Raw genomic sequence first — 23,927 nt, forward strand, 5'->3', positions numbered from 1 at the left:
TTGTGCATTCACTGTACTTTCTGAGACTTTACCTTGTGTCTTGGGTGTTCTGTGTCCTATTTTTGATTTTTATGATTTTCTCCTTTTTTGTATTTCAACTTGAGAAGTTTCTATTGAGTTGTCTTCCAGTTCATTGACTATGTAGTCTCCTAATGAGCCCATCAAAGCCATTCTTCATTCTGGTTACATGTTCTTGATACTTAGTGTTTTCTTTTGATTCTCTAAGGAGTTACATCTCTGCTCTTACATTACCCATCTGTTCTTGCATGTTGCCTACTTTTGCCATTAGAAACACTGACACAGTAACCATAACATTTTAGATTTCCTCTCTGGTAATTTCTTCTGTGGTATATGTGAGTCTGGTTTTATCCTTCAGCCTGTGTTGTTATTATTATTATTATTATTATTAGTCTTTTAGCACTCTTTACAATTTTTTTCTGAGAGCTGAATAAGTTGTATCAGGTAATAGGAATTGAAGTAAATAGTCCTTTAGTGTGAGTATTCAGGTAAATCTGTCCAGTAGTGATGCTGTGTCACTATATTTCTGTTTCTCTCTTATCTGTCTATCTATCTATCTATCTATCTATCTATCTATCTATCTATCTACCTATCTTCTATCTACCTATTATCTATCATCTACCTATTAGATATATCTGTCTATCCATATCATCTATCCTCTGCCTATCATTTATTATGTATTTGTCTATTATCTATCTATCTATCTATCTATCTATCTATCTATCTATCTATGTCAGAGGTGTCAGATTCCTCTGGTATTCTTGTGCTTGCTACTGTCTTGACTTTCCTAGATAATTCTTCTTGGAAAGAGTTTGGCAATTTGGGCTCTTTCTGCTGAAGTTCACTGTTACTAAAGTGGAGCCCTTTTACTGTGGTGATCAGGGTAGAGGAAAAAAGAAATCCATAATCTTAATATTAAATTTCAGTTGTTTTTTTGTGGGGAGGACTATAGTTCTGAGCTGAGAACTTTAAAAATGTTTCTCCAGTGATAAGCATTTATATTCTCCTTTTTTGTGAGGCAGGAAGATTAAAGGTTGTCTAAGATGTGAAGCATGATTTTCTTCTAGTTGGATTAAAGCTGAGTAAAGCCATTTTCCCTAAAGCAGGAGGTAACTTGATTATTTTTTACAGTGCTTTCATTTCTCAGCCCCTTGAAGAGCCACAAGGAATCTGTTTGGAATCTTCATAATGAAAACTTGGTGGAGTTTCTGGAGGTAAGGTCCATTAGAGTTACGGCTCCCCTAAAGAGAGTTGACTCCAGAAGTTCCTTACTCTCATGCTATTCCAGTCAGCCTCTAGTAATTGCGCAAACTTCCCATGGACATGTTTCCCTACCAATTAAGGATTATGTGTCTTCTGCTCCAGGTGAGCTGACCTCGGCTGTGCATCTCTGTATTCACCTGTCTCTCCAGTTTTCTGAATGGCATCTTTCTGTGCCATTAGTTCTCTGAAGGTTCTAAGCAGACTTGCTGATTTTACTTTGCTCAGCATTTTTATTCTGACAAAACAGAGTGTCAGCTTCTAAGCTCTCTACCTGTCATAGCTAAAACCAAGTTGTATTTACTATGTTAGTTTTCAAGAGGTCACAATGTCAGCCTCAGTGATCATGGGACTTCTGGAAGTCACATAAAGGGGGCTGAGGGCTGAGGTGAGACCTGGTCTTAACAGGGCAGAGACCAGAAATGGAAGTCACAGAGAGGGAACTGGAGAGCAACATGCCATCTGGGATTCACAAGGAGAATTCATGGGCAGAAACTGAGAGTTGAAGTCCCATCTCCACCTTCGTGGAGAAAGGTCACAGTTCCAGGTCATAAGTCAGGCATTGGTGACACAGGTCATGGATGGAGATCACAGGTCAAAGTTGAGGAGCATATTTCAAGCTTAAGGAATTATTCACACATCAAATACGAGGAGCAGTGTCCCATCTGAGTTCACAGAATGGAGCCTGGATTTTATAGGTCAGAAATTACCCTCAGAGTACACATTTAAGGGTCACAGAGTGGTAATCATGGATAGAGTAACAAGTAAGAGTTACAGAGTAGGGATCTGAGATGGAAGACCAATCTGAGGTTCACAGGTCAGAGTTCAGAAGAAAGAAGACCAAACTGGAGTCACAGGTCAGAGTTTAGCAGATGAGGGAGGAGTGCATCTTGGGTTCAAAGGTCAGAGTTCAGGGCCAAAGATCACAACTGCAAGTTAGAGCAAGAAATGCTTGGCTTCTTGGTAAGGAGACAACTGATGCAGAGAGTTGCTGGGGCCATACCAGTGCTCAACTCTCCCTATGTGCATTTGCTCATTGACGTCCTGGCTCAAACATGCAAATTATGTGCAGTCACTGTAGATGCCACCCAAATCCTCAAATTCTGCTAAACTTCTGGAAAATCAAGTCAGATGAGTGGGTCTGACATTTCCGGCAGTGGGGGGGGTGGGTAGCAGAATATTCAAATCAGAAAATTATCTTTATTTTAAAGATGTATCAATTAATTTGTAGTTAATCTTCAGATATTAGCATTTTGAACAAATTTTGAGCTGATTAGCTCATTTTAAAACACAGACTTTTTTTTTCTTTCCTTTCCTTTTCTTCTCTTTTATTTCTGTTGTGTCCAGCTAGTGTCTGCTTTGTATTGTTTTGTTTTGTTTTTGTCCCAGGGATCTATGAGGAAGAATTGCCTATGTCATCAATAGGAAGCACTGAGGACTCCACAAAACTCCCGGTTCTCAGGTTTGCTACAGAGGGAGCAGAAGGCCACTGGGATGTTGGGTTCATATACGTGAAATCATAAGGTGCCAGTTCCCTAGGTTCCAAAACCCAGTCTAAGATCGAAGCGTGCTTGCACGTGATCTGAGAAGGCAATGCTAAGAGAAAATTCTTAAGTACAATACTGTTGAGTTTTACAATAGCAAAGAAAACGAAAGAGCTTGAGACTTAGCAAGTGTGTAGTGATGTGAAGTAAAAGGAGAGAACCTTGCTGCAAACACAGTTTTGTGGACAGTTATGTAAAGGAGTTGCCCGACACTGTCCTACACAGAGAAACTCTTTGTCTGGGAGCTTACAGGAGGTTGTAAATCGCATATCAAGAGGGCAAGAGGAAAGACTTCAAGGATGAAACCTTTTCTAGCACTGAGATTATCTAGGGATGAGAGTGCATACTTCTCTGAGAATTTATTCTATTTTTGGTCAAATGCATACATTGTTAAAGGAACCATGATAGACTTAAACACTGGCTATATGAAACTTGCACCATTATAAAGGCTCTCCTGATATCTGAATAAATATTGATATGTTTTTTGAAAAAGAACTTATAGTATAGCAAAATAAAATAACTAAAGGAAAATGCATAACCTCTAGCTGTTGTAAAGAATTAATTGGAACATTCATTGCTAACACAGAGGTTGCATATTTCTTGGATAAGATAAATTTCATAAAAGTTACTAAGTCCAAACACAGGCCACCAAGAGCTAAAATATGGTCTGAAAACTAAATAAGCTCTACCAAAAATCCTGACTTATTTTTCTACTACTGTGGCAGAATTGGCTCCTTTAAAATCTCAATTTTTAACAGAATTTGTTTATTGCATGGGAGTGGTTAACAGTGTCAATGTTGAGCTGACTTCACATTAACGTGCAGTTCAGATACATGGAGTTTTTAATTTGCTATTATATAATGTAAGATTTCTTGAATCTGAAATGTATACTGTAAATATGCTGAGGTGCATTATAAACTAGAGTTTGGTTAGATGAGAACATATGTGTTTACATAGACTTTTAAAACCCTCTTTTTATGTTATTTTTAAGCTCATCAGTTACTTAACATTCATAGATGCAATGGTATTTAAGTATTACTATGGATGTTTCATTTCTACTTGTAATTATTTGGGCTTCTAGACCATAACTTTTAGTTTATGCTCAAAGTTTTCCATGAATCAGCATAAAATATTCCTCTCCCAGCCTTAAGTGGTGGCTCATGCCTGTAATCCCAGCACTTTGCGAGGCCAAGGTGGGAGGAACGCTTGAGGTGGGGAGTTTGACACAAGACTGACCAACAAGGAGAAACCTCGTCTCTGCTAAAAATACAAAAAATTAGCTGGGCATGGTGCTGCATGCCTGTAATCCCAGCTACTCGAGAGGCTGAGGCAGAAGAATTGCTTGAACTGGGGAAGCAGAGGTTGCAGTGAGCTGAGATCGTGCCACTGCACTCCAGCCTGGGCAAGAAGAGTGAAACTCTATCTCAAAAAAAAAAAAAAAAAATTCCTCTTCCTCTAAGAAAAAAATGATTTTAAATTCCATTTATCTTATTTTAAATGCTAAGTCCATTTTTTATGACAGATTTATCTGGGAAATCATGTGTTTTTGTGTGTGTGTGTGTATATGTATACTATAAAACATATGTATGTAATAGTATAACACATGTGATTATATTATACAATATGTATACATCGTATATATTTATGTAATACATATGTATATAATATATAAATATATAAAACACTTGACATTAAACGTTTATTATAGATAATGTATTAAAACCTAACATTATATATTTTATTAATTTATTATGTATAACATATATAGCTTATATATGTAATGAATTATATATTATGTATTATAGTTTATATACATAATATTTAATGTATCATATATTATATAGTTTCTATATTATATAATGTATTATATAGTATAGTATATATAATATACAATATTAAAATTTATATATAAAAATTTGCATATGAAAACATATAAACATATGTAAATATATATTAAATAATACATTATATGTTATATATTTAATATATTATATGTAATTTAAATTATGCATTAAATTTTAATATAATATATAATATATACTCAAATACATAATTGAATGTGATTACTTTATGTGTAAATATATAAATATATATTAGTATTTATGTGACATAAGAATATGTATTCTACATAAACGTGTATGTTTATGTAATGTAAAATATGTATTCTATGTAAATATGTATATATTTATGTAATATAAAAATATGCATTCTATATAAATATGTGTATATTTATGTAATATAAAATTTGCACCATATATTTATGTAATACATACATGTATTATACAGTTACGTAGCACATATACATATATTATATATGTTTATATAACACAAAGTATATATTATGTGTTATCTGTATGTATCTATAATGTATTTATTATACGTGTAATATATGTAGTGCACAAATATATACATGTATAATACATATAGTATGTTTATTATAAATACATATGTATTACAGATAGATTACACATGTACATGTGTTGTATAAGTATATAACAAACATAATATACATTACATATTCATGTATTTACATGAAAATATGTGAGCAACACATATATAAATATGTGTTAATATGTATATTATATGTAACATGTATAATATGTATACATGTTTTTAAAATACATATATGTATTATAATCATTTATAACATACACATGTATATATTTTGTATATACACACATCATATATATGTGCATATTTACATACATGCATTTTATTCATTCTCAAATGTTCTACATGTTTGCTAAAACTTGCCTTTTACAAATGACATACATCTGAATATAATTTTTTAATTCCAATTAGAAAATCATAAGTATTAATAAAAATGGGGAGGGGAGGAGCCAAGATGGCCGAATAGGAACAGCTCCGGTCTACAGGTCCCAGTGTGAGCGACGCAGAAGACGAGTGATTTCTGCATTTCCATTTGAGGTACCGGGTTCATCTCACTAGGGAGTGCCAGACAGTGGGTGCAGGTCAGTGGGTGCGCGCACCGTGCACGAGCCGAAGCAGGGCGAGGCATTGCGTCACTCGGGAAGTGCAAGGGGTCAGGGAGTTCCCTTTCCTAGTCAAAGAAAGGGGTGACAGATGGCACCTGGAAAATCCGGTCACTCCCACCCGAATACTGCGCTTTTCTGACGGGCTTAAAAAACAGAGCACCAGGAGATTATATCCCGCACCTGGCTCGGAGGGTCCTATGCCCACGGAGTCTGGCTGATTGCTAGCACAGCAGTCTGAGATCAAACTGCAAGGTGGCAGTGAGGCTGGGGGAGGGGTGCCCGCCACTGCCCAGGCTTGCTTAGGTAAACAAAGCAGCCAGGAAGCTCGAACTGGGTGGAGCCCACCACAGCTCAAGGAGGCCTGCCTGTCTCTGTAAGCTCCACCTCTGGGCGCAGGGCACGGACAAACAAAAAGAAAGCAATAACCTCTGCAGACTTAAATGTCCCCGTCTGACAGCTTTGAAGAGAGCAGTGGCCCTCTCAGCATGCAGCTGGAGATCTGAGAACAGGCACACTGCCTCCTCAAGTGGGTCCCTGACCCCTGACCCCTGAGCAGCCTAACTGGGAGGCACCCCCTAGCAGGGGCAGACTGACACCTCACATGGCCGGTTACTCCAACACACCTGCAGCTGAGGGTCCTGTCTGTTAGAAGGAAAACTAACAAACAGAAAGGACATCCATACCAAAAACCCATCTGTACATCACCATCATCAAAGACCAAAAGTAGATAAAACCACAAAGATGGGGAAAAAACAGAGCAGAAAAACTGCAAACTCTAAAAAGCAGAGCACCTCTCCTCATCTAAAGGAACGCAGTTCCTCACCAGCAACGGAACAAAGCAGGTTGGAGAATGACTTTGACGAGCTGAGAGAAGGCTTCACATGATCAAATTACTCTGAGCTATGGGAGGACATTCAAACCAAAGGCAAAGAAGTTGAAAACTTTGAAGAAAATTTCGAAGAATGTATAACTAGAATAACCAATACAGAGAAGTGCTTAAAGGAGCTGATGGAGCTGAAAACCAAGGCTCGAGAACTACATGAAGAATGCAGAAGCCTCAGGAGCCGATGTGATCAACTGGAAGAAAGGGTATCAGCCATGGAAGATGAAATGAAGTGAGAAGCGAAGTTTAGAGAAAAAAGAATAAAAAGAAACGAGCAAAGCCTTCAGGAAATATGGGACTATGTGAAAAGACCAAATCTACGTCTGATTGGTGTACCTGAAAGTGACAGGGAGAATGGAACCAAGTTGGAAAACACTCCGCAGGATATTATCCAGGAGAATTTCCCCAATCTAGCAAGGCAGGCCAACATTCAGATTCAGGAAATACAGAGAACGCCACAAAGATACTCCTCGAGAAGAGCAACTCCAAGACACATAATTGGCAGATTCACCAAAGTTGAAATGAAGGAAAAAATGTTAAGGGCAGCCAGAGAGAAAGGTCGGGTTACCCTCAAAGGGAAGCCCATCAGACTAATAGCGGATTTCTCGGCAGAAACTCTGCAAGCCAGAAGAGAGTGGGGGCGAATATTCAACATTCTTAAATAAAAGAATTTCCAACCCAGTATTTCATATCCAGCCAAACTAAGCTTCATAAGTGAAGGAGAAATAAAATACTATACAGACAAGCAAATGCTGAGAGATTTTGTCACCACCAGGCCTGCCCTAAAAGAGCTCCTGAAGGAAGCACTAAACATGGAAAGGAAAAACTGGTACCAGCTGCTACAAAACCATGCTAAAATGTAAGGACCATCGAGACTAGGAAGAAACTGCATCAACTAATGAGCAAAATAACCAGCTAACATCATAATGGCAGCATCAAATTCACACATAACAATATTAAGTTTAAATGTAAATGGACTAAATGCTCCAATTAAAAGACACAGACTGGCAAATTGGATAAAGAGTCAAGACCCATCAGTGTGCTGTATTCAGGAAACCCATCTCACGTGCAGAGACACACATAGGCTCAAAACAAAGGGATGGAGGAAGATCTACCAAGCAAATGGAAAACAAAAAAGTCAGGGGTTGCAATCCTAGTCTCTGATAAAACAGACTTTAAACCAACAAAGATCAAAAGAGACAAAGAAGGCCATTACATAATGGTAAAGGGATCAATTCAGCAAGAAGAGATAACTATCCTAAATATACATGCACCAAATACAGGAGCACCCAGATTCATAAAGCAAGTCCTGAGTGACCTAAAAAGAGACTTAGATGCCCACACATTAGTAATGGGAGACTTTAACACCCCACTGTCAACATTAGACAGATCAACGAGACAGAAAGTCAAGAAGAATACCCAGGAATTGAACTCAGCTCTGCACCAAGCAGACCTAATAGACATCTACAGAACTCTACACCCCAAAGCAACAGAATATACATTTTTTTGAGCACCACATCACACCTATTCCAAAATTGACCACATACTTGGAAGTAAAGCTCTCCTCAGCAAATGTAAAAGAACAGAAATTATAACAAACTATCTCTCAGACCACAGTGCAATCAAACGAGAAATCAAGAATACGAATCTCACTCAAAACCACTCAACTACATGGAAACCGAACAACCTGCTCCTGAATGACTACCGGGTACATAATGAAATGAAGGCAGAAATAAAGATATTCTTTGAAACCAACGAGAACAAAGACACAACAACATACCAGAATCTCTGGGACGCATTCGAAGCAGTGTGTAGAGGGAAATTTATAGCACTAAATTCCCACAAGAGAACGCAGGAAAGATCCAAAATCGACAGCCTAACATCACAATTAAAAGAACTAGAAAAGCAAGAGCAAACACATTCAAAAGCTAGCAGAAGGCAAGAAATATCTAAAATCAGAGCAGAACTGAAGGAAATAGAGATACAAAAAACCCTTCAAAAAATTAATGAATCCAGGAGCTGGTTTTTTGAAAGGATCAACAAAATTGATAGACCGCTAGCAAGACTAAGAAAGAAAAAAAAGAGAGAAGAATCAAATAGACGCAATAAAAAATGATAAAGTGGATATCACCACCGATCCCACAGAAATACAAACTACCATCAGAGAATACTACAAACACTTCTACGCAAATAAACTAGAAAATCTAGAAGAAATGGATAAATTCCTCGACACATACGCTCTCCCAAGACTAAACCAGGAAGAAGTTGAATCTCTGAATAGACCAATAACAGGATCTGAAATTGTGGCAATAATCAATAGCTTACCAACCAAAAACAGTCCAGGACCAGATGGATTCACAGCCGAATTCTACCAGAGGTACAAGGAGGAACTGGTATCATTCCTTCTGAAACTATTCCAATCAATAGAAAAAGAGGGAATCCTCCCTAACCCATTTTATGAGGCCAGCATCATGCTGATACCAAAGCCGGGCAGAGACACAACCAAAAAATAGAATTTTAGACCAATATCCTTGATGAACATTGATGCAAAAATCCTCAATAAAATACTGGCAAACCGAATCCACAGCACATCAAAAAGCTTATCCACCATGATCAAGTGGGCTTCATCTCTGGGATGCAAGGCTGGTTGAATATATGCAAATCAATAAATGTAATCCAGCATATAAACAGAATCAAAGACAAAAACCACATGATTATCTCAATAGATGCAGAAAAGGCCTTTGACAAAATTCAAGAACCCTTCATGCTAAAAACTCTCAATAAATTTGGTATTGATGGGACGTATTTCAAAATAATAAGAGCTATCTATGACAAACCCACAGCCAATATCATACTGAATGGGCAAAAACTGGAAGCATTCCCTTTGAAAACTGGCACAAGACAGGGATGCCCTCTCTCACCACTCCTATTCAACAGAGTGTTGGAAGTTCTGGCCAGGGCAATTAGGCAGGAGAAGGAAATAAAAGGTATTCAATTAGGAAAAGAGGAAGTCAAATTGTCCCTGTTTGGAGACGACATGATAGTATATGTAGAAAACCGCATTGTCTCAGCCCAAAATCTCCTTAAGCTGATAAGCAACTTCAGCAACGTCTCAGGATACAAAATCAATGTACAAAAATCACAAGCATTCTTATACACCAATAACAGACAAGCAGAGAGCCAAATCATGAGTGAACTCCAATTCACAATTGCTTCAAAGAGAATAAAATACCTAGGAATCCAACTTACAAGGGATATGAGGGACCTCTTCAAGGAGAACTACAAATCACTGCTCAAGGAAATAAAAGAGGATACAAACAAATGGAAGAATATTCCATGCTCATTGGTAGGAATAATCAATATCGTGAAAATGGCCATACTGCCCAAGGTAATTTACAGATTCAATGCCATCCCCATCAAGCTACCAATGACTTTCTTCACAGAATTGGAAAAAACTACTTTAAAGTTCATATGGAACCAAAAAAAAAAAGCCCGCATTGCCAAGTCAATCCTAAGCCTTTTGGCTTTTGAACAAAGCTGGAGCATCACACTACCTGACTTCAAACTATACTACAAGGCTACAGGAACCAAAACAGCATGGTACTGGTACCAAAACAGAGATATAGATCAATGGAACAGAACAGAGCCCTCAGAAATAATGCCGCATATCTACAACTATCTGATCTTTGACAAACCTGACGAAAACAAGCAATGGGGAAAGGATTCCCTGTTTAATAAATAGTACTGGGAAAACTGGCTGGCCATACATAGAAAGCTGAAACTGCATCCCTTCCTTACACCTTATACAAAAATCAATTCAAGATGGATTAAAGACTTAAACGTTAGACCTAAAACCATAAAAACCCTAGAAGAAAACCTAGGCATTACCATTCAGGACATAGGCATGGGCAAGGACTTCATGTCTAAAACACCAAAATCAATGGCAACAAAAGCCAAAATTGACAAACGGGATCTAATTAAACTAAAGAGCTTCTGCACAGCAAAATAAACTACCATCAGAGTGAACAGGTAACCTACAAAATGGGAGAAAATTTTCACAACCTACTCATCTGACAAAGGGCTAATATCCAGAATCTACAATGAACTCAAACCAATTTACAAGAAAAAAACAAACAACCCCATCAAAAAGTGGGCAAAGGACATGAACAGACACTTCTCAAAAGAAGACATTTATGCAGCCAAAAAACACATGAAAAAATGCTCATCATCACTGGCCATCAGAGAAATGCAAATCAAAACCACAATGAGTTACCATCTCACACCAGTTAGAATGGCAATCATTAAAAAGTCAGGAAACAAGAGGTGCTGGAGAAGATGTGGAGAAATAGGAACACTTTTACACTGTTGGTGGGACTGTAAACTAGTTCAACCATTGTGGAAGTCAGTGTGGCGATTTCTCAGGGATCTAGAACTAGAAATACCATTTGACCCAGCCATCCCATTACTGGGTATATACCCAAAGGACTATAAATCATGCTGCTATAAAGACACACACACACGTATGTTTATTGTGGCATTATTCACAATAGCAAAGACTTGGAACCAACCCAAATGTCCAACAGTGATAGATTGGATTAAGAAAATGTGGCACATATACACCATGGAATACTATGCAGCCATAAAAAATGATGAGTTCATGTCCTTTGTAGGGACATGGATGAAATTGGAAATCATCATTCTCAGTAAACTATTGCAAGAATAAAAAAAACAAACACCTCATATTCTCATTCATAGGTGGGAATTGAACAATGAGAACACATGGACAGAGGAAGGGGAATATCACACTCTGGGGACTGTTGTGGGGTGTGGGGAGGGGGGAGGGATAGCATTGGGAGATATACCTAATGCTAGATGACCTAATGTTAGTGGGTGCAGTGCACCAGCATGGCACTTGTATACATATGTAACTAACCTGCACATTGTGCACATATACCCTAAAACTTAAAGTATAATAATAATAAATAAATATAAATATAAAAATAAAAACTAAGCATACATTAAAATTGAAAACATCTCTTTAGTAAAAAGTTATATTCAGTGGAAAGACATGCTGTTTTTATTGCGGCAGTAGAAATTGAAAGCCTACATGTCTGATAAAAGTTATGTCCAAAGTGTGCAAACAGAGTAAGAAGATTCTCATATATTTTTTATGGTGAGACCCTCTCTAAAATCACAATTATTGCATTTGGTTAGATCTTATGTTTACACAAAATCTACAAAAATCTGTGTAATAAATATACATATATTTATATATGTATATTTTAAAAATTAAATTTAGCAAGAAGACGTGACTTACCAGTTCCTGAATAGTCATCGTTATATAACTTATTGGTCTCCAGACTTCTGCCACCAATTCACCACATTAGGAAGACCTTTACAATATCTAACCTGATTTTTGATCCAAATTGAATGCCTTTGAATTTTATTGTTTTATTAAATAAGTAAAATTTCATAATCAAGAATTACATCCAGGCAATATTCTATAACCTCAGAGGCAGGTGCTGCACCAGTGCTTGAGATGGAGGTGGGCTCCATGGTGTTCATTTATGATTCTGCATTTTAGTGTTCATGGGCATGGGTTGAATGGTAGCCTCCTAAAACATATGCTCATGTCCGAATGCTTGGAAACTGTGAATGTGACCTTAGTTGAAAGGAAGGTCTGTGCAGATGTAATCCATTTAAGGATGGGAAAATTAGATTATTCTAAATTGTTTGCATGGGCACTAATTGCAATGACAAGTCTCCTTATAAGAGACAGAGGAAGAGGAGACACAGACACTGAGGAGAAGAGCACATGAAGGTGAAGGCAGAGGCTGGAGTGAAGCAGCCAGAAGCCCTTGACTCCTGCAGCCACCAGGAGCTGGCAGGAAGGATCCTCTCCTAGAGCCTGCGGAGGGAACACATGTATATGTGTGTGTGTGTGTGTGTGTGTGTGTGTGTGTGTATGTGTTTGTATCATATATATGTATATGTGTATATATACATATGTATGCTTGCATGTATACATATGTATGCATATAAACATATATATGTATATTTTTCACATTAATTTTTAAAATGTTGAACTTACATGTTACTGAATAAAAGTCCCTCTTGTATAACTAGCTGGTCTCCATACTCCTAGCACTAAGATACTGTGCCATAGCTAGGAAAAACTTTGTGATAGCCATCCTAATACTTGGCCAAAATTCAATGCTTTTAAATGTATTATTCTATTAATTCAATATAGTTTAAAGAACCGTAAATACATCCAGGCAATTTTCTATCTGTTAGAAATACAGTTGATAAGATAGATTGAGAAAGACACCCACATTTATGAAAATTATCTTTGCGACTAGACACAGATTACAGAAAACCAGGTATCTAGTATTTTAGAATACTAGATAAGTAATATTACACATATTGACAATACAATAAAGTTATCTAGTATTTTAGAAGGTGTGGAGAGCTATGCAAAAATAACAAAGATACAGCAGCATGAGGGTGATCACAACATAAAAGGTGGGGCGGGGTGTCCAATTTTCAGAAGAGCGATTAGGGCAGGTCTCATTGAAAGTGGGATGTTTGAGCAAAGATTTAGGAAGAGGTGAGAAAGTTCAGTAAGGTTCTATTTGAGAGGGATGGTAATATTTCAGGAAAAAGAATTAATAGCTAAGGCAAAGCCCAGATAGAAAAGCCTTACAGGGATATTTGAACAGAAACCTGGGGGCCAGTGTGGCTAAGAGGAGAGAAGTTCATAGATGAAAGGGGGCAGGAGTATCAGACCTATGGTGCTGCTGAGCACTTAGGTTTTTATTCTAAAGGCTATATGAGTTATTGTGGCATTCTGAGAAAGGAATGATGCATACAACCTCATGTTTTCTGAAAGATAAGCCTGACTGCTGTGTTGAGACAAGGACACGGCACACGAGAAGCAGATAGGTCTGTTAAGAGGTTGTTGAGTTAAACAAAACAAAACAAAACAAAACAAAAACTGGGAAATGATGGATGGGTCTGCCAAGGTAGACCAACAGAAGTGCCTTTAGTGTGTGGAGCACACAATGCCATGAGCAAAAGAGAGAAATTAACAAAGAGAGGAAAGGCTGGCACGGTGGCTCACTCCTGTAATCCCAGCACTTTGGGAAGCTGAGGAGGGCGGATCACTTGAGGTCAGGAGTAAGAGAACATCCTGGCCAACATGGCAAAACCTAGTCTCTTCTAAACCTAGTGTCTATGATTTTTAGTCTACTAAAACTACAGAATTACTTGGGCATGGTAGTGTGTGCCTGTAGTACTTGGGATGCTGAGGCAGGACAGTTGCTTGAACCCAGAACGCAGAGGTTGCAGTGAGCCAAGATAGCGCCGTTGTACTCCAGCCCAGGTGACAGAGTGAGACTCTGTCTCAAAAGCAAAAAAACACCAACAAAAATAAAGGAATGAACACAGACGCCAAAGATTTTGTCTGAGCAACTGAAACAATGGAATGAGGAAGGAAGTAAATTGAGCAGGGCTGTAGGTGAGTTAGAGTATGATTTTTGACCTGTTGAGGGTAGGATGTACAAGAGACCAGGAAATGGAGATTTTAAGGAGACAGTTGGGTGCAGAGCCTGGGATCAGAAGAGAATTCTAAGCTGGAATTGTAAGTGTGGGGAAAATAAACTATGCCAATGTGATTTAAAGTCATGATAGTTGGTGAGATCCCTAAGGACAGGAACATAGTAAAGAAGAGGAGCAGTACTGACTTAGAGAACTCAAGCATGAACGGGTCCAGTGAACAGGAAAGGCCAAGACAAGGGGATAAAAGAAAGCAAACATGAAGAAGAACAGAAGTCAAGGTTAGGAAATCCTGACGAACACAAGGGTGTTGCTGTAGGGAATAAATATACATCGAGTTCTAATTGACCAGGTAAGATAATAAGCATTGAACAGTGGACTTAGCAACACAGCACTAATTGCCAACATCTGGGAAATGTCATTGGAAGATGGTTTCTCATTTTCCCTTCTCTAAGATTCCAGGATTTTATTTATTTATTTATTTGATTAAACTCCAGGGAGGGGGAAAAAGAAAAAAAAAGAGAAATAGGAAAACAATAAAAGGGAAGACGAGAAAAGGAACAAGGTCAGAATCAGAAGAATGTAATATTTGTTCCATTCCTTGATAAATCTGGCCAAGTAGAGGAGTATGTTAGCACTCACTAAGTACTTACTGAATCAATACAAAAAAGACAAATTTGATAATGGTAATAAACGTAAGGTATGGTGAGGTAGAGAATTTTGTTCCTGAAGTTTCAGTCATGTGTAATAAAAAAGTATTCCAACATTTATGATTGCAGTCATGAAAAGAATGTATTCTGAGATTTATGTTCGCAGTTGTGAAATAAGTTTCAGCACGTATACCTGAAGGTCAAAAGGCATTTGTAAGTCTGTTGAATGCATTTAAATTTGATTTTAATCCTTTGTCTCAGATGAATGCAAAAAGAGAGCTTTTAAATGTAGTACATTAAAGGGGAATGGACTTATCTTTTCCTCTTGCTACACCTAAAGGAACAGATTGCAGCTCCTGGTGGTAGACAAATAGTGCTCTTGAGAAATGCTGCCTGCAGATTTAAGAACATTAAGACAAAGGTAATATGGCAATAATACCAGTTACAACAAGGTGTCTAGTAAATTTTGCACTCACATTGTGACTAAAGATTTCCAGTCTCATGTTAAAATATGCATGGACATTCACTAAGGAGCAGAGAGGTCATAAATTATTCGTATTATTGCACAGGAGTAAATGTGCCTAACAGATGGAAAACTAAGTACCAAAAGATTAAGGATACAAAGCCACACAGCAGGAAAGCAAGTGTCAGGACTAAAATTGAGGTCTCCTTACTGCCCCTTCACCTGCAGCTTGCTACAACTTTATTTTTATAGCTAAACTAGGCTGCAGAGGACATGAATGAGTGAAAACATTTATCATATAGCATTCCAAAAGGAAAATGTTCTCTCCTTGAAGGGAAGAAAGGAAGAAAGGTAAAAGGGGATGGAGGAAGGTACAAAAAAGAAAGAGAAAGGGAAGCAAGGAAAGAGAAAGAAAAGAAGGGGGGGGAGAAGAAATAGAGAGAGGAAGGAAGAGAAGATTCAAGGTTTCAAAAATTCAAAGATCCAGAATTCAAGCCTCTGACATTAAATATGTTAAATCATAGTAATAATTGTCACCTCACTGTGCTACTTTTGATGAATGGAGGGAGGGAGGAGAATTAAAGAGAGGTAAGGGGGAGAAGGAAGTCAAAGAATAAAAAAGGGTGAGAGAAAAGGAAAAAAGAGAGAGAGGGAAGGAAGGAAAAAAGGAAGGAAGTAAGGGAGGGGGGGAAAGACCAGCCACCCCACAATGACTTCTGAGTAATTATTAAAGTCTTCAAAATATTGATATAATAGAAAAAAATATGAATTCCAAATTTGTTATAAATGTAAATGTTAGCGACAATAGAAACAACAACACTTTTGGCTGAAAGTGATCCCTAACTAGAGAAGGCAATCTGCCATGGAGACTCGCTGCCAGCTTCCAGCCTCCAGAGCTGTGAGCAATAAATGTCTGTTGTTTAAGCCACCCTATCTGTTTAGTTGGCAGCCTGTACTAAGACAAGACTTCAAAAGGAAAGAGAGATATAATTTTTGGAAAGGATGAATTATAATTATGTTTTTAAAGATGATATAATTAAATACATAGACAATTCAGGACAATCAAATTAACACATGAGAATTAATAAATCTAAAGCCATTTCTAAGCATTAGCAATGATTAAAAGATAAGATGGAGAAAATGAATCTACTCAAAGAAACTTTAACAATTTTATAAGGAAAAATATCAAATCTAACTAGCATAAATAAAGAGGCAAATTATATGCGCTGTTTATGACTGGATACTACAGAAAAAGGGAACAGGGAAAAGGGGAGAAAATGGAAATTTTCTACCATGTTCATACAGAGCTTTAATGAAGATCAAACACATTTCCAATTACATTTACTTTGTGACTTGGCACAGTCTATTGTGAAAAATGAAAATATGTAATATATAATATTCGATAGGTATTATAAATGTAATATGCATTTAATATAAGTGTGATGTGTTTGAGAATACACTACCAAATATCCTGAGTATTACCTTTCAAAATAGGCTATATGCATTTTTAATTGGAAAAAAATCTACCAGATAATTTATATATTAGAGTGGACCTAGGATTCAAATTCACATGTAATATGCATGTAATGTAATAAATGCAATGTATTTGATAATAATTATCAAATGTAATATATATTACATTTCAAAATAGGTAATATGTATTTTTAGAAGGAATAAAGTCTACCAAATAATTCTTGTATTATAGTGGACTTAGGATTCACATTCAGAGCACAGAAAGGAAGAGATAATTTTGAAGCTACCCCTACTGTATTACAGTAAATTACAGATGAATTTACTTTAAATAGATTGCTAAAGTAATGCTGTTTTGTGAAATTAACTTCTTGTAATAAGTAGAGCTATAGCCATCATTTCCAAATGAGTTATAGGGTGAAATTGAAAGAGTGCACTCAGAAGAAAAAAACAAGAGGAGGTTCTCAGTCATGGATGGTGTCCTTGGAGGCCAGACAGATATACACCCACACAATCTTCATCATGGCCATACACAGCCAGTAGCAAACAAAGAGAGGCAGAGTGGTATGGTGGAGAGACATTCTGGAATGAGCAGGCTGGGTATAGATTCCAGGATTCAAGCCTCTGACATTAAATCTGTTAAATCATGGTAATAATTGTCACCTCACTGTGCTACTTGTGATGAACTTTCAAGAACTAATATTTGCAAGGAAAGTGGGGTGTATGATGTCAAAAGGCCTTGTTCTAGTTGGAGTAACCTCCCTTTGACACAAATATCTCTAATAAATCAGACAGAATTCACTAAGCAGAACTAATATTTGCAAGGTCCTCAAAAGCAGTTACTTAAACGTGAAGAATATGATAAAATGTTCTTAGATGAACCCCCAATAGAGTGTATCAATGGGCTTCGTGGTGTTTTTCTAGCAGACCCAGCGGGAATATTCTTGGCAGCTGGGAGTTTTCATGCAGATGGAATGTCAAGGGATTCACGATGAAAAATGCTGCAATATCCTACTTTGTAACATTGACTGTGGATGCTAAACTGCATCCCTTATCTATATTAATAGAGTGTTGTATTATTTTTCTACATTTACAGATATCTTTCAATCAGATGCTCTTGTCCTTGTGCAAACTAAATGAAAGAACATCAAAATGAAATATACAATAGGGGCCAGGTGCGGTGGCTCACGTCCATAATCCCAGCACGTTGGGAGGCCGAGACAATAGGATCATGAGGTCAGGAGATTGAGACCATCCTGACTAACACAGTGAAACCACAGCTCTACTAAAAATACAAAAAAATTAGCTGGGCGTGGTGGCCAGTGCCTGAAGTCCCAGCTACTCCGGAGGCTGATGCAAGAGAATGGCATGAACCTGGGAGGCAGAGCTTGCAGTGAGCCCAGATGGCGCCACTGCACTCTGGCTAGGGCAGCAGAGCGAGACTCCATCTGAAAAAAAAAAAAAAAAAAAAAAAAAAAAAAAATATATATATATATATATATATATATATATATATACACACACACACAAACACACACACACACATATACACACACATATAATATATATAAAATACATATATGTATGTGTATACACATATATACACATACACATATATACATACATATATATACATACATACACACACACAATTATGAAAAGTGGATAAATGCAATTTCAGTTGACCACTGTGGACATGATGGTGCAAAGTGTCATATTATTGCATATTCTTTCTTGTCATTTTGATGCATTCTCTTGACTTATTATTATATTTTTTAGGAAATAGCAATAAGGCCCTGTTTAGGTGATAAAAATTAATCAAGTCCAGTCTAATTACAAAAATCAAAACTCTTAACAATTTTTCACTTGCCCTATGCTATAGTTTGAATATTTGTCCCCTCGAAAACTCATGTTGAAACGTAACCCCCAATGAAACAAAATGTGTTTCCATATTTTTGCTATTGTAAATAGTGCTGTGGTGAACATACATGTGCATGTATCTTTATAATGGAATGATTTATATTCCTTTGGGTATCAATAGCCAAATTGACCACATGATGCAGTTTCAATAATCTATCTTTTTGGGTGCCAAGATTTGTACAGAAACCCTCCCTGTTCTGCACTGGGAGCTGATAACCATGGACTAGAGGTCACTTACAGAGTTTTCAGCTGTGTCTCATCTATCTCAGCCTTGAGGAGGCATATATGAAGCTCCCTGATTTGATCTCATAACAAGGGAAATGTTACCAAAACACCACGGGTTTGGTTTAGATCTTGTTGCACCAGAAAGAAAGCCAATCACTGAGACAAGTATTACCAAGGAAGGCTTTTATGGGTGCTTCAGCCAAGGAGACAGGAGATAAATGTCAAATCCGTCACTGCAACCAAGTCAAACTAGTGGTTTATGTGGTAGGGAAGGAATCTACAGGAATTGGGGGAGGGCAGTAAAGAAAAGGAGTTTCAGTTCCTTGATACTACATGGGAGGCCTGAGGGTCAGTTTCCTGAGAGAAGAACTCAGATTAAACCAATGTGGGTTTCAAGCTCTGAGAAAGAAAGACACTATTTCTATGTTGATTCAAAATAATGATAATAGGCTGGGCATGGTGCCTCATGCCTGTAATACCAATATTTTGGGGGGCTGAGATGGGTGGACCACCTGAGGTCAGGAGTTCAAGACCAGCCTAGTCAACATGGTGAAACCTTGTCTCTACTGAAAATTAAAATAATTAGCCGGGAGTGGTGATGTGAGTGTGTAATCCCAGCTACTCAGTAGTCTAAGGCAGGGTAATCACTTGAAACTGGGAGTCAGGTTGCAGTGAGCCAAGACTGTGCCACTGTACTTCAGCCTGGGTGACAGAGTAACACTCTGTCTCAAAATAGATAAATGAATAATTAAAATTAAAAATTAAAAATATTAAAAACAAAATTTAAATTTAAATATTTAAAAATGTAAAAAATAGAAAGCAAAAATAAAAAATAAATACAAATAAAAATTAAAACAAAAACAATAAAATGAAAACAAATAAAAATTAATAAAATTAAAATGCATAAACATAAAAAATAATAAACATCAGTTCTATGGTGAAATTGGGCTGGTTTCAGCAAGAGGAGATGCTGAATAGAAAGATAATGGTAGGTAAGTAAGGTACTATTCACTTAATTTGTAGTGAAGAAAACATTCTCTTCATCTCTCAATTCTTCATGCTAGATGCTTGGGTCCTAACAGAAAATATATACTCCCTCCAAGGAATTCCTCATGATTGGCCTTGGACACTTCTCCATAGATACTTGACCTCCTCTCATTTAGCTTGGTGGTTATCTAATTTTCTAATACTGGAATAAGCAGTTTCACACTCCCACAGCATGTCTACCTTGGCAAAGATAAGGTAGAGTAGTTTCCACTTACTGTGTCGTCCTCAGGAAAAAATAAAGTAGTGCATCATGAATAGTTGTCATTAAAAAAATGAGGCAGTAGAAAAAGTTGTCTTCAATGTCATATCAAAACACATAAATTTTGTTTTCTTTGTATGCAAACATCTTCTCTAAGATTTTAGGAAAAGAATACTGAAAACTTCCACAAAAAATGGGTAAAGTCTAGAAATAAGTAATAAATAGAGAGATCAAGTGTGCATGATATATAAGAAATATGTGACATAATTAATCATCAAAAATGCCAAAGAAAATAAAAATAAGATGAGGTGAATTTCATAGCACAACAGGGTTACTACAGTCAATAATAATTTAATTGTACCTTTAAAAATAACTAAAAGGTGTAATTGGATTGTTGGTACTTCAAAGGATAAGTGCTGGACAGGATGGATACCTCATATACCCTGATATGATTAGTACACATTGCATGCCTGTATCAAAATATCACATATACTCCATAAATATATCCACCTACAATGTATCCACAAAAAAATAAAACAGGTGAAACAAAATTACAATGCACCTTGCTCACAATAGCAACAGAGATTGAAGAAAATGGTTGAGAGTATAATCAAAGGTAAATTCAAGAAAACTAAATGAGTTTAAAAAGAGCCTATTGATAAGATAATTGAAAAGATGTTTAAACGAGTTCCAATAGATCAAGAACAACTTTTTGTCTTTTCAAAACAGAATACCAAGTGGAACAGAAAATATATTTCAAAGAGATAGTAATGGATAGACATAAAAGCAAAACGATCTCCCAGGAAATGTGTATCCACACCTATAATCACTAAGATGCAATAAAATAAAGCTAACACAAAAATTCATGATATTTGGGTGACACACGGAATCTGGAGGTGGGAAAACTCAGATTTTTTTTTTTTTCTATAGCAGCATTGAAAACGGCAAGAAATGAGAAGATAGTTATAAAATCTCTAGGAAAAAAACATAGAGCCCGATAATCTTGTACCCTAATTGTCAGTCACTGTTAAGCTATCTATTTAAATGCAATAAATTCAAAATTTGATATACCTGGGTCTACACACACACATTTTTAAAAAGTACAAGAGAGTGTTCTTACCTAAATTAATGTTGGAGAGTAGTTCTGGCAAAAGAGGTCATGGGAAACACTGAACCAACTTAAAGGTACTATTAAGAGTGTGCAGGTCTTATTTCTGGGTTCTCTATTCTGTTTCATTGATGTGTATGTCTGTTTTTGTACCAGTACCATGTTGCTTCTGTTATGGTACCCTTGTAGTATAGTGTGAATTTAAGTAGTGTGATGTCTACAGCTTAGTTCTTTTTGCTTAAGATTGTTGTGCGTATTTCGGCTCTTTTTGATTCCATACAAATTTTAAAATATTTTTCTCTAGTTCTGAGTAAAATGTCCATGGTAGTTTCATAGCGATAGCATTGAATTTATAAATTGCTTTGGGCAGTATGACCATTTTAATGGTATTGAATCTTCCAACCTATTCATGAACATGGAATGTTTTTCTGTTTGTTTGAGTCATCTCTGACTGGGTTGAGCAGTGGTTTGTAGCTCTCCAAGAGAGATCTTTCACCATCTGAGTTAGCTGTATTCAAAGTTATTTGATTCTTTTTGTGGTAATTGCAAATGGAAGTTTGTTCCTGATTGGGCTCTTGTCTTGACTTTTGTTGATGTATAGGAATGCTAGTGATTCTTACACACTGATTTTGGGACTTGAGACTTCACTGACATTGTTTATCAGCTTAAGAAGCTTTTTGTCTAAGATTATGGGGTTTTCTAGATGTAAGATTATGTTGTCTGCAAACACAGATAGTTTGACTTCCTCTCTTGCTATTTGGATGCCCTCTTTCTCTTACCTGATTGCCTTAGCCAGGAATACCAATACTATGTTGAATTGGAGTGTGAAAGATTCCCTATTCGATAGATAGTGGTGGGATAACTGGCTAGCCATAGGCAGAAAATTGAAAAGGGACCCCTTGTTTACATCACATACAAAAATTAAATTAAGATGGATTAAAGACTTACAAGTAGAATCCAAAACTATAAAAGCCCTGGAAGACAACTTAGGCTATACCATTCAAGACACAGACAAGGCAAAGATTTCATGATGTTGACACAAAAAGGAATTGCAACAAAAGCCAACATTGACAAATGGGATCTAATTAAACTAAAGAGCTTTTGCACACCGAAATAAATTATCATTGGCATAAACAGGCAACTTACAGAATGGGAGAAAAATTGTGCAAACGATGCATCTGACAAAGGTGTAATATCCAGCCTCTATAATGAAAGTAAGCAAATTTACAAGACAAACAACTCCATAAAAAAGTGACCAAAGAACATGAACAGACACTTTTTAAAAGAAGACATATATGTGTCCAACAACCATATGAATAAAAGCTCAGCATCCCTGATCATTAAAGAAATGCAAATCAAAACCATGAGATACCATCTCACATCAGTCAGAATGGCTATTATTAAAAAGTCAAAAAATAACAGATACTGCCAAGGTTTTAGAGAAAAAGAAACACCTATACACTGTTGGTGAGAGAGTAGATTAGTTCAGCCATTGTGGAAGACAGTGCTGTGATTCCTCAAAGATCTAAAGACAGAAATACCATTCAACCCAGCAATCCCATTACTGGGTATATACCCAAATGAATATAAATCATTCTATTATAAAGACACATGCCTATGTATGGTCATTGCAGCACTATTCACAATACCAAAGACATAGAATAAACCTAAATGCCTATCAATGATAGACTGGATAAAGAAAATGTGGTACATATATGCCATGTAATTCTATGGCGCTATAAAAATAATGAGATCATGTCATTTCAGGGATATAGGTGGAGCTGGAGGCCATCATCCTTAGCAAACTAATGCAGGGACAGAAAACCAAATACCCCATGTTCTCACTTATAAGTGGGAGCTGAATGATGAGAAAACATGGATACATAGAGGTGAACAACACTCAGCAGGGACTTTTGAAGAATAGAGGGTGGGAAAAGGGAAAGGATCAGAAAAAATAACTACTGCATACTAGGCTTAATACTCGGTGTTGAAATAATCTGTACAGCAAACCCCCACAATGCAAGTTTACCTTTGTAACAAACGTGTACTTCTACCCCTGAACTTAAAAAAAAGTCAAAAAACAAAAATAAAAATACCAAAGTAAACTAATTCTAAATGATTAACGTGGAAGAAAATCCTAAAATCTTAGGGCTGCAAAGGTGAAACAAAAAGGAATTAGATGAGGCACAATATATGCTGACTGATTCATTCTTTTTTCCAAGCAAGCACTCAAAAATCTTGTTTTATCTTGTACACACACACACACACACACACATACACTCGTGCTCTTTCTCTCTCTCAAGAAATATAAAGGAGAAATAAAGGCAAATTTTACTGAACAAAATCAGGTGATAAACAGAAGTGGACAAATAATCATAAATATATCAAGCTAACTATAGTCATCAATTGTATTAAATAAATTCTTTAATAGAGGAATGCAAGACTGTCAAAAATAGTGAAAGATCTGAGATATCACCCTCATTGCAAACAGACAATTTACTCTAGCATGTTTCCATAAATGCTGATGGTAGACATGAGGTTCTGGAATCAGAGACAAAAGATATTATTACTCATGCACAGCAGGCAACAT

At 36.7% G+C, this 23,927-nt stretch overlaps 1 long non-coding RNA gene across 5 annotated transcripts in view; it reads right to left on the reverse strand.

The window, feature by feature from the left end:
- TTTY14 (testis expressed transcript, Y-linked 14) overlaps positions 1–23,927 on the reverse strand; it is a 205,047-nt gene that overhangs the window by 15,745 nt on the left and 165,375 nt on the right. The gene's annotated exons all lie outside the window — the stretch shown is intronic.

The sequence above is a fragment of the Homo sapiens genome, chromosome Y (genome assembly GCF_000001405.40).
Source record: "Homo sapiens chromosome Y, GRCh38.p14 Primary Assembly".
Classification (NCBI taxonomy): domain Eukaryota; kingdom Metazoa; phylum Chordata; class Mammalia; order Primates; family Hominidae; genus Homo; species Homo sapiens.